The sequence below is a fragment of the Homo sapiens genome, chromosome 7 (assembly GCF_000001405.40).
Source record: "Homo sapiens chromosome 7, GRCh38.p14 Primary Assembly".
Classification (NCBI taxonomy): domain Eukaryota; kingdom Metazoa; phylum Chordata; class Mammalia; order Primates; family Hominidae; genus Homo; species Homo sapiens.
This window is the reverse complement of record NC_000007.14, coordinates 148,169,448-148,186,304: the sequence shown is the minus strand read 5'-3', so window position 1 is coordinate 148,186,304 and position 16,857 is coordinate 148,169,448. Positions and strand designations below refer to the sequence as shown.

The 16,857-nt window shown below is 39.9% G+C and overlaps 1 protein-coding gene across 1 annotated transcript in view, besides 1 other annotated feature; it reads right to left on the bottom strand.

The window, feature by feature from the left end:
* CNTNAP2 (contactin associated protein 2) overlaps positions 1 to 16,857 on the bottom strand; it is a 2,304,198-nt gene that overhangs the window by 234,694 nt on the left and 2,052,647 nt on the right. Inside the window, exon 18 of the mRNA NM_014141.6 lies at positions 13,827 to 14,063. Within this exon, the coding sequence (NP_054860.1) occupies positions 13,827 to 14,063 (237 nt within the window). The remainder of the gene's footprint in view (positions 1 to 13,826; positions 14,064 to 16,857) is intronic.
* Positions 13,432 to 14,631: an enhancer, noted in NCBI's record as "BRD4-independent group 4 enhancer chr7:147868766-147869965 (GRCh37/hg19 assembly coordinates)". NCBI's record gives its function as "activates an origin of replication core promoter dependent on BRD2, P300/CBP, MED14 and CDK7 cofactors, and independent of BRD4, by STARR-seq in HCT116 cells {active_cell/tissue: HCT116}" and the evidence as "EXISTENCE:reporter gene assay evidence [ECO:0000049][PMID:35650434]".

Genomic DNA, 16,857 nt, shown 5'->3' with positions numbered 1-16,857 from the left:
TCAATGCCTGAATGTTGTTGTGATGATTAAATAAGGTAAACTATGTGAACACACTTAGTTCAGTGCCTGGCATAACAGGAAATGTTTAATAAAATATCAGTTGAATATGAATGAATGAAATAGTCCTTTCAACCACGACATACTTTGATTTTGTGACAAAAGGGGCCTCCTGAACTTTTAACCATCTATAGTAATAGAAGAAGTGTTGGAATAAGTAACCCAATGACATTTGAATGTTAGCGCAAAAGCTGAAAGTCTGAGTAATCATAAATTCATTATAGTAACAGAAATAAAAGTCTTTTGGAATAGTCCTTGATATTTTAAAAGAAGTTATTAAGTGTTTGTCATAACCTCAGGTGGTTTATGATTCAGGAGGTTGTTGTATGAGGCCACAGAAGATAACATTTTAACTTAGTTAATAGAGGAGAGGGATTATAAACTTGTTTCAATTTATAACTTGATCTACTGCTTTAATTTGACTTACATGACTTAATTTATATTTTTAACTGAATTTACAAGATTCCTTTATAAGAGACATTTGTTAAGGAAATATAAAAGTCAACAGGCTAAAATAGACCTATTTAAAAGGGATTTAAATCAAATTACTTCAATAGTAAAGCTTTAGAAAGCATTTTACTTATAGCTTTATTCATCTCTGAAAACTAAAAAGTGACTAGCAATGGACTTGTTCAAATATTTGGGTTACATTTGGCTTAGACCTGAGAAAAATCTGGACTCATTCATCTGAACAGGAGTTATCATCCTTGGTAACGGGGCAGAGGATGCAGAGAGACTGTCAATCACTTGGGATAAGAGGAAAATTTTAGATGTACTTTCTACAATGTAGCAGTTGCTTTTTATTTCTTGAAACTCTATAAGATACTCAAGGAACCAACATGATTTGCTAACGATCTCAATAACAACCTCAAGAGGATGTTTTAGAATCCATTCTTATTTAATCTCAAGTGTGTTTGCTGCTTTAATGATGTTCCAGGCCAAATGACTCATGCCAATTCCATGACAGAGACAGGAATTTAATCAGGGCCATGCATTCAAGGGTTGGCTGACTATGAATACAGTACTGCCTGTCATGAACTAGTATAACTCTGAGGTCTAAAGTCTTGCTGGATTGTTGTGAGCACGGAGCTTCTGGATAACGCATTTCAGTGCTGTACAGAGAGACGGGCGAGCACTAATGTCAACAATTGAGAGGGAAAAGTTTTGCTGTTGGTTATGGCAACACTAACAACACAGATAGAAAAGTTCTGTCTAGGATTTCCTAGCAGCTCTTGAAAGATAATGGTTTACATTTTGCAGGATTCTCACTAAAGAGGCTTTCAGTGACTCAATGATTAATAAACTTAATAATAATTTGCATTTTATAACATTAATGCTTTTCAAAGCACTTTCACATCCATCAGCTCATTTGATCCTCACAGCCTTGTGAATAATGAATTTTATATAATTAGTGCAATTTATAAAGAAACAGAATGCCTAGTTAGGATTGTTCACTTTGGTTTTTAATAATGTTGAAATTGGAATTCAAGTTACTCTTGTTCCACTGTTCTATATAATATAAGATTCCCTCTTTAATTGGGATAAACTCAAAAAGTACAAATTTCCCCTTTCTTTAAACAAAATTAGTTTAGAATAGTGTTGTCTGTGTTTCTGGTCATAAATCCAGGATGGAAAGAAATAGAAGATGTGAAAGGACATTTTGGTGCCTTTGAGGATTGCTGAGAAATGATTCACATAAGGGCTAGAATTTGGTATTTCTCTGTAAGCTATACTTGACCCAACTCCCTAGGGAGAAGCACAGAAAGTGAGATTGGCTACTGGCACAGGTAAATCATAAGTCATTTGTACTAGTCTAAAGTAAGCAAATTTGCATTAGTTAAGGTCTAAACTTCAGAATACTAAAATAAAATTTAGTAATGTTAAAGTTGATAAAAGCAAGTTTTTAGAAGACCTCTTTTAACAAAAAGCAAAGATAAACTTATTTACATGTCAATTTATTTTTAGATATTTATTTTTTTTATAGAGATGGGGTCTCACTGTGTAACCCAAGCTGGTCTCAAACTCTTGGGCTCAAGCAATCCTGCCTCAGCCTCCCAAAATGCTGGAATTAACAGGCATGAGCCACCGTGCCTGGTTTACATATCAATTTGTTGATCTATCTTTGAAGTTGTATCTTTAAAGTTATCTTTAAGGCAGAAATACTCAAGGGGAAGGTGTCCACTAGGTTCATATAAAATTATCTGGAGGTGGGAGTAAGGGAAAAAACTGCAAGGAGACGTGTATTTTGAGAAAATCATATTAATTATTAGAATAACTTTTTGAAAAATGGAAAAAATTCCCTACTGTTTTCATATTAGAAATTAAAGAAGGCAAAGCCTCATGAAATATTTTTGGCTGGTGGAATATAATTTGAAAAATAGTTAAGCTAATCTAACTCCTAAAATATTTTGTCCACTATTAATGTCTAAAGCAATTCAATTTTGTAATATTAAAAGCAAATAAGTAGGCTGGGCATGGTGGCTCATGACTGTAATCCCAGCTCTTTGGGAGGCTGAGGTGGGAGCATACCCTGATGCCAGGAGTTTGAGACCAGCCTGGGCAACACAGTGAGACCCTGTTTCTACAAAAAATTAAAAACTTAGCAGGGTATGGTAGCACATGCCTATAGTCCCAGCTACTCTGGGGGCCAAGGTGGGAGGATCACTTGAGCCCAGGAGGTCGAGGATGCAGTGAGCCATCATTGCACCACTGCGCTCCAGCTAGGGCAACAAAGCTCAAAGCCTGTCTCAAAAAAAAAAAAAAAAAAAAAAAGCAAATAAGTATTTCTTGTAAATATCAATTGTATTATTTCAAAGACAATTTTAAAAAAATTGAGATGCTTTAAAACTTTTGTCTTTAGACTTTAGGCTTTAATGATATATGTTTTCCAAAGAGTCTTCTCCCTTAACCCAAATTACGCCCTCAGAATTAGGTGCAACCCACCACTATCTGCCATGCTGTCCTTGGACAAGACTTTGAATCAGGCAGCCCTCCCAGTAGAACCTTCAGCGTGGGTATCCATGGGGGTCTCTCACTCGGCCTTCTGGCTTGTTTCCCTGCATGCTGCAGTTGGTTCTATCCCCTCCATTGCATTCCCAGCCTAGTCTTATTCATCCTGTCCTTCCTTGCTGGCAATCCACTGCTTCCCCCACAGCAGGCTCTCTGTACATGTTCCCGTATTTCACTAAACTTGTGCTCAGTGTATAGGAAGGAATAAAATTATTATTAATGATCAAACTGCTTGAAATTACTTCGTTCACACAGAATGTAGAATGTTAAATTGTACTGCCAATAATTTAATTTAATTGAGAGTCTTTGCCTTATAGAACTTGAATACTGTAAAAGCCACCTTATATTTAGTAAACATATCCCTTGGAAGAGTAGCTAGAAAGTATTGTTAGTCAAGTTAAACATTTCACTATATCCTGTGCCCAGTCCTCTTGAGAAAATGAAGGTAATACATTTAAAATGCCAAGAAAAGGATGGCTCAGAGAGAGCAGCTGGCTCTTCATAATTTGTTTTCTCAGGATTTGGTTTTAAACAGAAAAATATAAAATGCCTATTTATCTAAATCAAACACTCTTGTAACCAGTTGGAATTAATAGAGGTAAAAATATGTGAGTGAGTTCAAAGCCAGGTTGATCTATAAAATGGGTAGGCTATAGCATTATAGTCTCAGGCTTGATTATTTAAGAAAGTAAATTTCCTGTAGCCAAGGAATGCCTGGAATGAGCCCAGTTGCTAAGGCCAGAGCTGCCTGTTGGAAATGATAAGCGCGCAAATGGTTGTGGAGTGAAGAAATTGCATGTCAGAGGCAGGTCTTCATGGCCCATAGACGTGATGGAGTACTCAAGGGCAGCGTGGACGTTGGTGAATGGACCTGCTTGCAGGGCAGCCAAACATGTGAGCAATCTAAAAGCAAAACCCTCAGGACAATTTATCAGACCAGTTCCTTTTTGGCTCACAAAAGAAAAGAAAAGAAATGTATAGAGTTTCAGCTCAAGTCATGGAGCTAATATGTGGGAAAAGATAAAGAGTGTTATTTCTGTGAACTTCACATTATTTAGAGTTCTGATCATTGCTGAAGAACAGGAAATAAAAACACTCAACAACATATACAAATAAAACACTCAGGAAAAAAAATTCAGCTGTGTCCCCACACTGGTGGGGATTAGAAAAGGGCACACACTTGGCCAGGCGCGGTGGCTCACGCCTGTAATCCCAGCACTTTGGGAGGCTGAGGCGGGCGGATCACGAGGTCAGGAGATCGAGACCATCCTGGCCAACATGGTGAAACCCCGTCTCTACTAAAAATACAAAAATTTAGCCTGGTGTGGTGGCAGGCGCCTGTAGTCCCAGCTACTCGGGAGGCTGAGGCAGGAGAATGGCGTGAACCCGGGAGTTGGAGCTTGCAGTGAGCCGAGTTTGTGCCACTGAACTCCAGCCTGGGTGACAGTGCGAGACTCCGTCTCAAAAAAAAAAAAAAAAAAAAAAAAAAAAAAAAAAGGGCACACACTTGAAACAAAAGTTATTTATCCTACAACCAAAGCCAAATCCGAACACTTTGTCCTGTATTAGATTTAGAACAGTTTACGGAGGACTTGCTTTTTCTGCACTGAATTTTTAAATCTCTTTCTCTAAGAAAGTTAATTGGCCAGGTTTTCTCAAATATCTGGGACCCCAAAGAGAACCTCAGGCTAGGGGGAATGTTATTTTACCACCACAAAATTCTATAACAAAGCCACTTAAACTTGGCAGCTATCTCTGCAGCTTTGACTTTTCTGAATTAAGTCAAAATTATTTTCTTTTTCCATACATATTTGTGGACTTCTGTCCACTTATGGATTTTCATCCATAAATATTTTCTGACTTTTTGGCTCTTCCTTCTCTCTTTATTTTTTAAGCTTTTAATCAGATTATTTTCATGCGTTATGGTATTAGGGTTCTCTCTAGAGGGACATAATCAACAGACTATATAGATATAGACATACGAGAGGGGATTTCTTAGGGGAATTGGCTCATGTAATTGTGGAGGCTGAGAAGTCCCATGATACGTCCTCTACATGGTGGAGACCCTGGGGTACCAGTGGTGTGGCTCCGTCCAAGTCCAAAGGCCTCAGAACAAAAGAAGCCAATGGTGTAACTCTTAGCCCAAGCTCAAAAGCATGAGAATCTGGTATAAGTTCTGGAGCCCAAAGGCTAGGGAGCCTGGAGTTGCCCCAAAACAGTATATCTCATCTCTAGTAGATAGATAGACACTACCACCTTTTCTCTGTTTTTGTTCTCTGCAGCCCCTAGCAGACAGGATAATGCCTTCCCACATTGAGGGTAGCTCTTCCCCACCTCATCCACTCAGACCCACATGCTAATGTTCTCTGGAAACAGCCTCACAGACCCACCTCAAAGTAATGCTTTACAGATTTCTAGGTGTAGGGGCTAAAGCACCTCCTTCTTGGATGCTAATGCACCATGCTGGCTTCTGAATAACCCAGTTGCAGAATGCCACTAAGTTTTCCACCTTATCTACTGTTTACTGCAAATTCTGCTCTAGGGTAACTTGCTTCTGAAGCATGTAGACCCTTTCTCTATGGTATATAGGCCCTGGGTCTGAGGAGGTAAAGGAATCCACCATCTCATCTTGTAGATACCAGAGACGCAACTTCTGTTGGTAAGTCCCTATTCAATTTGTTTTTTTTTTCTTCTGAGAAACTGGCTTTGTCAGACTGTTTCTTTGGCCTCTCAGCTCCCTTGGCCTTTGGAGGTAGGCTTGCATAGACCTGCTCCCTATGGAACACCAGTCAAGTTGACACTTAAAATTAACCATCACAGTTACCATGATACTTTTAAATTGCATCCTAAGGTCTGAAGATTTAAGAAATACATTAAGAGAGAAGGGATATTTTCTCTACTTGAATAATTCTCTAAGAAGAAAAGAAAAAAAAAGGGTTCTATTCTTGTTCCTTTGGGCCTTCTTCCAAATCTGTCAAACCTCCTGTTCCAACTGAAAATGAAAAAGAAGCCTGTGAAAAGTTTCTCTCCCTACTGATGTGAAAGTGTCTTCCAAGCTGGGATTATTAAGACTGGATAGGTAGACCTGAGGAAAAATGGCCATTGTCACTAACAGCTTAGCTGATTTCACATAGGGGTGAAATTCTAAGATGCATACTTCCAACATTTCTCTTCTTTTTCTCCCTATTTGTTTATATATTTTGTATTAATTAATTTTCTCTCCAACCTGCTCTAAAAGGGTAGACCATGCATTTATTCTGGTCCCTGTTTCATACTGAGAGCTGTGGAACAGAATTTGTTCAGTCTTCCAACCGCTTTTGGCAAACCCACTACCTCACATCCAACAAGAAATGTTTCTCTAGGAGGCAAGTGGAAAACCCTCTCTTCCTTAGAGGTATAACGTGGACTTGAGCCTGAGGTCTCTTGGAGCAAAAAGGAGTCTGGGACCTTTCTTTTCTTTTCTTCTCTTTCTCTGCTTCTCTCTCTCTCCTTCCTTCCTTCTCTCCTCCTCCTTCTTTCTCTCCCTCTTTCTCCTCCCTTTTCTTTCTTTCCCTTTCTTTCTCTTCTCTCTCTTGTTCTCTCTCTTTCTCACTCTTTCTCTCTTTCTCTCCTTCCTTCCTTCCTTCCCTCCTTCCCTCCCTCCCTCTCTCTCCCCCGCACCCCGCCTCTCTCCCTCTCTCTCCCTCTCTCCCTCTCTCACTCCCTCTCTCTCCCTCTCTCCCTCTGTCTTTCTTTCCTCAGTCTTGCTCTGTTGCCCAGGCTAAAGTGCAGTGGCACAATCTCGGCTGATTGAAGCCTTGACCTCCTGAGCTCAAGCAATCCTCCCATCTCAGCCTCCCAAGTAGCTGGGACTGCAGGTATGTGCCACCACACCTGGCTAATTTTGTCTTTCTGTAGAGACAAGTTCTCACTATGTTGCCCAGGCTGGTCTTGAACTCCTGGGCTCACATGATCTTCCCACCTTGGCCTCTCAGAGTGCTGGGATTCAGGTGTGAGCCAGTGTGCCTGGCTAATCAGCGCTTTCTTGTCTCCTGATGGGCCTTGAGTCAGGAAGGGATGCAGGAGTTACTAAGGTGACCCAACTTGGTTCTTGAAAGGACTGGATACATTGCTCCAAGACTTGCGCTATTGACAAAACCAGTCCGATATGGTGGGTGTGGTTTCCAGTTGCATCTTCCAGAATCTCTGCATACTTCTCAGCCCTTCAGGGCTTCAGAATACTTTTACTGTGACCAAAATTAAGTAGAAATGACATTTTAGGACACTGCCACTGCTCCTGAAGTACCGAAATGACAATCCAATACTCAAGGATCACCGAAATAATGCCAGTTAGGCATTTGACATTTAAAGCTATTAGGGAAGGATTAAAGGACAACATGAATTAAGTAAAAACAAAAACACAAACCAAAAAGCAAAGAGCTGCTAAGAATGAAAAGGACATTTGCTGTTGGACTGCTGTGTGCCAGGTCCTTCATGTGGAAATTCATTCACATTATTCTGTGTGATTTTCAAGGTATCCTTAAGAGGTAGTTACTATGTATTCCTGAAGATAAGGCTCAGTGACAAACAATTTTCCTAAGGTTACGTAACAGGTATGTGAGAAAGATGGATTCAAACTGACATCTAATTCCATCATCATCTTATAGGTTGAGACTTGAATTTGCTATAAACAATTTCTTCTACCATCTTAATAATACAGATTATAAAATATTAGCTAACTTCACAATACTCATAGGGAGAATAGGAGACTTAGCTGGAACACAGGGAGGGTGGCACATTATTTGTGTGACTGTAAATGATGGAAACACTGCAATGATTGAATGACTATTCAAATCTTGGTCACTCAGTAATCCTGTGACTTTTATTCTTCAAGTTTTTTCTAAGCAATAAACAAATGAATGTTTGAGAAGAAAACAGAACTCCCTAACTCAGAAAATGGTTTCAGAGTGATTAAAGAAATGTATTTTTCAACTGCAGTCCTGGTTTGGCATATGAACATGAACATTTTTATAGTTAAAAAAAGTGCAGATGAGTGAATTTGGAGATATCTTTGTGTCTCTTGATGATAAGTTCTTGCTTAACTTGGCTTGGTGAAAGGATCATAATGAAGAACTGTTTTCAGCAGCCTGGGTGATATCCAATTCACATGTATTCCTATCATATATTCTAGACTTGCCTGATTTTGTATCTGTAAACCATTAAAATGCTTTGGAAATTTCAGTGTAGTCAGATTCAACTATACATTCAAGACTTCTGGGCACATTAGGTGTTCAATGAATGTTTGCTCAATAAGAGTCAATAAATGAATAAACCTTACACCTAGATGTAGCAAAAAAAAAAAAACAGTGTCTGTTCAATTCTTGTATCCTATTTTTTATGATAAACTCTGCATCCAGTAATATTCTAATTTCTTTTTACTCAATCACAATAATCAAAAAGCTTTAAGACTAGAGGCTATGCTTTTAGTTGCTACAAAATGAAAGGAAAGGGAGTCTTGCCTCTTACTAATATGTGAACCTTGGGGCAGGCTACTACAACCATCTCCTTCTTGGTACAATAGGAGCACTAGTAATAGCAATCATTTCACCAGGTTGTGGTGAGGATTAAACGATGCTAACACAATTAGAAAGCTTAGCACACTGCCTAGCAGACAAGTTCTCAATAAATACCAGCTGCTATCCTTGTTAAGAGCAAGAATTAAGAAGATGGTAGGTTTTTCTTCGAACTTGTATTATTTTCCTAGGAAGCCAGAAGTCTGAAAGCAAGGTGTTCTCAGGGCTACGCTTCTTCGAAAACTCTAGGGAAGAATCTTTCCTTCACTCTTCTAGCCTCTGGTAGCCTCAGGAATTCCTTGGCTTGGGGCAGTGTAACTCCGATCTCTGCCTCCGTCTTCACATGGCTTTCCTTCTATGTCTGTCAGTACCTCTGTGCCCCCTCCTCTTCCTATGAAGACACAGTCATTGGATTTAGGGCCAACCTCCTAGTATGACCTCAACTTACCATAATCACATCTGCAAGGACCCTACTTCCAAACAACGTTGTATTCTGAAGTCCTAGGTGGACATGAATTTTGGGGGACACTATTCAATCTACTATGGCATTCAACCACGAAAAGTAAACACAGAAATTGCTGCCTCTACTATAGGTATGTTATTTTCTCTCTTGCTTAAACACACAGAGAAGACACACAGAGAGTGTACTGCAAATTATGTCTCTAATTTCTGGTTAGTAATAAAAGTGACATTGATAATTATAGAATTCTTGAGTGTTTTGGGATCTGACTCTCCAAGAAGGAGCAGTTTTAATGTTAGAAAACTATCTTTGGCATGACCAAGCAACTATCCATTCGGTCCCCAATAATCCTGGGGATGACAGACCCACAGTTAAACCTTCCATGTAGTCTGGGATGATTCTCCCCTCAGCCTCAGCCGATGGGGTGCCAAGGAATTCTGCATTGGAAGGGACCTACCTCCACTGAGTTAAACTGCTCCTCATTGATGAACGTGCTGAGAAGATGGGATGCTGCTCAGTTATCTGCCGACAGATGAGGAGACTGCCTGCATGGTCTAGTTGTAGGGTTTCCACAACGCCCTTGTGCTATCTCCAAACCATGAAATATTCCCCAGTCAGCACTCCTACTAAAGATTCAAGTAGCCCTGGGAGAGCTAACACTTTAACTGGTGGTCAAATCTTTAGGCATCTCTTTGAAAAAGGGCTCTGGGCTGGGTGTGGTGGCTCATGCCTGTAATCCCAGCACTTTGGGAGGCTGAGGCAGGCAGATCACCTGAGGTCAGGAGTTCGAGACTAGCCTGGCCAACATGTTGAAACCGTCTGTACTAAAAATAAAAAATTAGCTGGATGTGGTGATGGGTGCCTGTAATCCCAGCTACTCGGGAGGCTGAGGCAGAAGAATCACTTGAACCTAGGAGGCAGAGGTTGCAGTGAGCCAAGATTGTGCCACTGCACTCCAGTCTGGGCGACAAGAGAGAAACTCCATCTCAAAAAAAAAAAAAAAAAAAAAAAAAAAGAGAAAGAAAGAAAAGAAAAAAGGGTTTTGGATAAGAGGTTAGAGGAAGTCCCCTTCTTGTGTGGTTTTGACTAGTGCGGAATAGTGAGTATCAGTGCATCATCTACAAAGCAGAAGAGATGATCATGAGGAACCTACTCAAATCCAGCCCTGTCTTCCTAGTTCAACAAAGTGACAAGACACGGTAATTTCACTTACATATTCAACTATACACTCCAGCAAAAGAAAGGGAGAGAGGGAAAGTAGGTATGGAATATGGAGAGACAGAGACAGAGACAGGGATTGATGTAGAAATAAAGATTGTGCTTATGGTGAACGGAGAAGGAAGGAGGAAGAGAAGGGAAGAAGAGGAGGATGATAAGGAGGATGGGGAGGAGGGGGAGAAGGAGAGGAGGGAAAAACAGAATTCAAACAGTATGGGCTGTCTGCCCACCATTCTCCTGGATGGGCTAATAATATACAGGGGTGAGACTTAGCTTATCTGTCCCCCTGGGCTATTTTATGACCTGGGCTATTTTGGGTCCCAAGCCTGTCCTAGTGTGAGCCTCTCACATAGCTGAGTGTGATACTAGTGTCTTGAGGTCTTTATTTTCATGCAACCTGACCCCAACAAGGCAGCCCTTCCTCCGATGCCCATCTGAAGGGTGATCTCTTCAGCTGCTTGTGGAAAATGAGTTCTGCTAAATGTATTGAGATTTAACAAATGCATTGTTAAATGTATTGAGATTCTCAGGGACAATATAATTACATAAAATTTTCACCTGACCATGCTTCTCCATTCCAGAAAGTACAACTAGATGGTCCAATAATATCTAATAAATAGCTAGATATTTTATGACCAGAGATAGTTATCCCTCAAATGTCTGGGGTAAGAACTTGGCTTCCTACTATTATTTTTCCAAAGAAGAAAAAATAATGATGTTAGAGGAAATACATCATTGTGCAAAGACTGGAAAATGTAGCTAAGCAAAAACAAAATAAGAAACATGCACATGTATGTTTATTGCAGCACTATTTACACAGCAAAGACTTAGAACCATCCCAAATGCCCATCAATGATAGACTGGATAAAGAAAATGTGGCACATATACAACATGGAATACTATGCAGCTGTAAAAAGAATGAGTTCATGTCTTTTGCAGGGTCATGGATGAAGCTACAGGCCATCATTCTCAGCAAACTAACACAGGAACAGAAAACCAAACACCACATGTTCTCACTCATAATTGGTAGCTGAACAGTGAGAACACATGGCCACAGGGAGGGGAACATCACACACAGGGGTCTGTTGGGGGGTTGGCGGCAAGGGGAGAGAGAGCATTAGGACAAATACCTAATGTATATGGGGCTTAAAACCTAGATGACGGGTTGATAGGTGCGGCAAACCCCATGGCACACGTATGCTTATGTAACAAACCTGCATGTTCTGCACATGTATCGCAGAACTTAAAGCAAAATAAAATAAGAAAAAATACTAGTATTTTTATCCTCCTGCAAAAAATAACCACAGTTAATATTTTGGCGTGTATTCTCACAGTTTGTTTGCCTCATCTCTGCGTGTATGCATGTTTTATTTTGTATAAACACGTAGTCCGGCTGTGTGTGGTAGGTTGGGCCTTGCTTCATTCACTTGGCAAAATATTAGCGATGTTTTCCACATCTGCAAGCATAGACCTATACTCCCAAAGGAAGGCCAGAGAAGGCCTTGCATGGAGCTCATTCTTCGGCCAATGCCAAAGCTCTTTGTAGAGGCTGAGCTGTTTGGCTGAAGCACCAGCCTGAGGTGGGGGGCGGTCACAGGAACTGCTGTGCAGGCACCAGGCTACCTGGAGAGTGAGGTCCAGAGCAGAGACAGCATCAGGCTGGGAGATCCTTCCAGTCCCTGATGGAGCTTGCCTCAGTGCAGACAAAGCTTTCCTGGACAGCTGTGGGATTCCTCTGAAACAGTTCCACTGTCATTCTACCAAGTCAAGGAGGTACTTGACTCAGAAGGATGCTCATAAATGATTTCCAAATATGTTTTGCAGTCTTCTATTTAAATTTTTTGGTTAAAGTCACTAATTGAATCAAATGAAAACTCATTCTGCTAAACAGATAATAAGGAAATATTTAGATGTCTTTTGTGTAAACATGTTGAAATAATGTCAGAGGCAACACACAGGCGTCATTTCACTTTATCTGCAATGTGGCCTAACCTGGAGAGGATATGCCCCTGCCTTTCTATTCATGACTATTGCCTATTAATCTCCAGAGGTTTTGCGTGAGCTACTGTGTTTAACCTAACTCTCCAAAAATAAAGGGATGGTGATTTTCTTTAAACTGGTACTTATGTAGTGGAATCTCGCAGGCATTAGTGCTTACTTGATTGCATTCAGACATTACTTTGGCAAGGAAATGACTGCATTAAATTAGCATCAAGCACAATGAATGGTAATTGCAAGACTGTCATTTCTACAAGTGCAAAATTAATGTGTTCTGCAGGCCCATTCAATTGTGTGCCGCAGGAAAATCATGGAACCATGTTGTTCTGAACAGAAAAATGCACTGTAATAGCACTGTTAATGTGCTTTGGTATTATTCTGCAATGGTGTTCCTTTCCACCTTTGTTGTTGTCTCATGCTCATTTTTCATACCCTGTCTGGCCTAATTTGTATGCTCATATTATAGCGCTGCCAAACAGTAGCCTGGAGGTACAGAGAATGTTATGGAACAATTCCTCCTTCTGTGTGTGGCATCTTGTGTGAATAATGCCAGTGTAAACAACCCTCCATGTATTCATCAGAGTCTGAACAGGCTACTTATGTAAAGCTTCTTATTAAGAGATGCACCAACCGCTCACAGAAAACTTTACCCATATGCTATACATTCATTTAGAAAGAGAGGAGTGATTTACATGCATTTCAATTGTGGCTTAGGAAAAGCACCAGCTCCTCCTCTCTTCATCCCTCATTTATATATGGGAAATTAAGCCACAGACCAGTTGAGTCAATTTCTTCTTCTGGTCAAGCAGGATCACAGGGTATAGTTCAAATGATAACATGCATATGCATTGGGCTCTTGTACTCTGCTCATTGGCTCTGCGGAATCTACTGGGGATTAAAGGAATTATTCAAGACTAAAATAACCAAGTAATAACAGATGCTCTAAGCTGACCAATTAAATGTGGTTTTTCAGCATTTCTGCAGTTTAGCTTAGGCTGAGAGCCACTCAAAGGCATCCTGAGTAAGAGTAATAATAATGATGTTAATGACTGACCAGAGGAGCTTTCTGGTGAGTGTAGCTTGAATCCAGTCTCTTAGCAACTGCAGGGGGTGGGGGCATCAAGACCACTGGGGTGCACTGGCTGATTCACTACAGAAATTGACTGATCAATTGATCTATTGGAGATCCTAACGTGGGAGGGTCAGGCCTGATTCCCCTTTTGAAGGCCACCTATTTTATCACTCACCATTAAGATGTAATGAGACTGCCTTTGTAGTGTTTCGGGCAGTGAATAATTTGCTAGAATCTGGAAGAAATTCTGCACCATACACAGAGCTTCTCTCATTTTATCAAACAAAAATGATTAGGAAATGATTTTGGTTGGAAAATTCCTACCTAAGTTGAGAGAAAAATTCTGATCATCTTAACCTCAGAATAAGGTACACTTGTTTACATATGAAAAATCATTAAATAGATGATTTGGGCTTAAAAAGACACGCAAAAGTGGCTCTGGAAATGGGTTCCACCTTACCTTTGTTGCAAAATGTTCCATCATATGCAGTATTAGAGCAATCGCAGGAGTAACCGTGGTATCTCTCTAGGCATTTGCCTCCATTTTCACAGTTTGTTCCATAGCTGGTGCAATGGCCCGAGCATCCGGATATGAACCCAGATGTGACCTTTGCTCTTTCCTCCAGGTCAAGTGTCACCCCATTCATCCTCAAGGAGCGGATGCAGCCCAGGAAGCCCTGCTGGCCCCCAGCACCACCTGGGAATGACAGAAGGCACAGAGTTCAGAGGGAATAACCTCTGCTATTGCTTAATTCTTCATATTTTGAACAACTGTGGTAGGAGATGACACTGCATAGCACATCTAGTATTGTCACTATCAAGTTGGTCCTATCTAAATAGAGAAAGTTGAAGCTTTTCTCCCTGCAGGCTATAAGGCCTAATTAAAAGAGCCATCTTCTGAGAAGCAACACGTTTCCTACAGAAATAAAATATTTGGAGATGCACAAAAATTATATCAGCTGTTTTGGAAGTCTAATCTGGTTTCCTATAGAAAAAGCGTTTACAGAAATCTCTAGATTCTTTGCTCTTTAATCTCACAACATCGAGTTCTGTAGCATTACTTATTGAAAAAATATAAAGGCAGAGACATGAATGTATTAGCATAGTTAACAAGTCAATTAGTTGGAAGACATAAATCCGTTTGAAATGTGATTGTAGATCTTGGTTCTTGTCTCAAGAGAGGCTTTGCTTTTAAGTTCATGTCAAGACTACCCAAGGCTCCTTGTCTGGGGTAGCTGGAAGCTGGAACTGATAACTTTACACAGAAATCAGCTATACCACATTTATTGCTAGGTTAGATCAGATTTCATTGCTTTTGTCTAAATGTCATTACACGACATATAGCACAATAAGCACGTTCACTGTGATTTTTGGAGTAAGTTATAGAGTTGGACTGAGGTTCATGAGCATGAAAATATTAAAATATTCCCAAGAAATTTCACAGAAAGATTCATTGAGGCATTCTATCACAAATGGATTTAATTGTGTCTATAGTATTCTTAGCTATAATCTTTTTAAAGCAGCTGGTATAAAAGGACGAACTCAAATTTATATACATGCTTGCATCTTAGAGTAACAACTTTTCTGGAAACTAATCTAAAATGAATAGTAGGTAAAACTGTTGAAAGAAATAGGTGATGAGCATTTAGAAAAGAAAATACTGTTAATAAAAATAAAACCCAAGTTTCTCCTTCATTGAGGGCTACATACTAGGCACTCTATATACAGTACCTTATATATGCTACTCACCTGGTCCTCACAACAACTTATCAAAGTAGATATTATTTGCATTATTCCCATTGTACAGATGGAGAAACTGAGGCTTGGAGAAGTTAAGAAGTTTACTCAAGGACTCATAGTTCCTGAGTGGCAACTGTATCAGATCTGTCTTATTCCTAAGGCAACAAACAGGGTTTATTGTCTTAAGCCCTGTTCTGTGTAGACCACTTAATACCGAGAAGAACTTTCCAGTCAGGGGTCTCATAGATGTACATGTTTCTGAGATGTAGATTTGGAGGTCTTTAAACATGGAGTAGTCAGTAGGGTTACTGGAATTCAGGTAAGATCAGTAGGCTGGGGATTGATTCTGATCACTTACTCTATTATCTTAAGAAAAGTCATAAACTCCAGTAGATTGGTCAGACAGGACTGGAATATCAAAGGCTTTAGTGGCAGAGATGAATTAGCATCTGCTTATGCCTGCAAAACCCCATCAGTGAAGTGGCAAATGAGTTGCTGTACCATCTCTGCAAACCCAAGCCTTGCAGTTCTCTCACTGGGTGACTCATTGGTTTTAATCATGACTCCCTTGGGAGTATTTGATTTCTTCTAACATATTGGAATAGAGAAGTGAAGAGAGTCCAGTGCCTTTTTTGATCAAAGCTATGAGAGAGTAGATGGCAAAAGAAGTTATTAAAAACAACTACTTTGAAGGATTTCCCATTCTGCCATCTGTTTGTCAACTGGGCTTCACACCTCTACGCTGAAGAGAATGAGGGCCTTTGCCTGATTTGGAAGAACTTCAACCCTCTAGTTACACCTTGTGTGTTAGAATTTCAATTTGGCTTCTATTATTTTAGCCATTATGGCTTTTGTCCTTGCAATAAGGGCTTTCCAAAAGACATTTTATTAAATAAATGTCTGGCCTTAAAAATTTTTTATCACTAGTCAATTAAGACAATTATATTCTATCAAAATATGCTAAAATGTAGAAATCATTTTTAGATCTCCCCATCTCTTTCTGCCTGGTGATCAATGTAATAGTCATTGTGGTCACTATAAACATACTGAGAAGCAGAATACAAAACAGATTCTGTTACGCTACTCAGATTTAACTACTTTCACTTTTAGGGAACAGCCTTTTTCATTTTTCTATGAACATACTATGTGTAAATAAAAAGGAAGAAATGGAATCATAATATACACATTGTTTTGAAACTTGCTTTTTGCACTTAACATATCATGAAACTTTTTTTTTTTGAGGCGGATTTTCACTCTATTGTTTAGGCTGGAGTGCAGTGGCATGATCTCAGCTCACTGCAACCTCCGCCTCCCGGGTTCAAGCAATTCTCTTGCCTCAGCCTCCCCAGTAGCTGGGACTACAGGCACACGCCACCACACCCAGCTAATTTTTGTATTTTTAGTAGAGATGGGGTTTCACCATGTTAACCAGGCTGGTCTCGAACTCCTGACCTCGTGATCTGCCTGCCTTGGCCTCCCAAAGTGCTGGGATTACAGGTGTGAGCCACCGTGCCCAGCCTTTGCAACATTTTCCAAGCAATAAATGTACAACGAGAACATCTTGCTTAGTATCTGCATAGCATCCTATTCTGTGAATGCACTATCACTTATTTCGCTCTTGCACCACCAGTGGACTTTTAAGTTTTTAAAATTTTCCATTTTATATGATACTATAATAATATAATCTTTATGAAAACCTTTGCACACTTGTCGTCCAGTTTTTCCTTAGAATTCATTCTTTAAAATTAGTT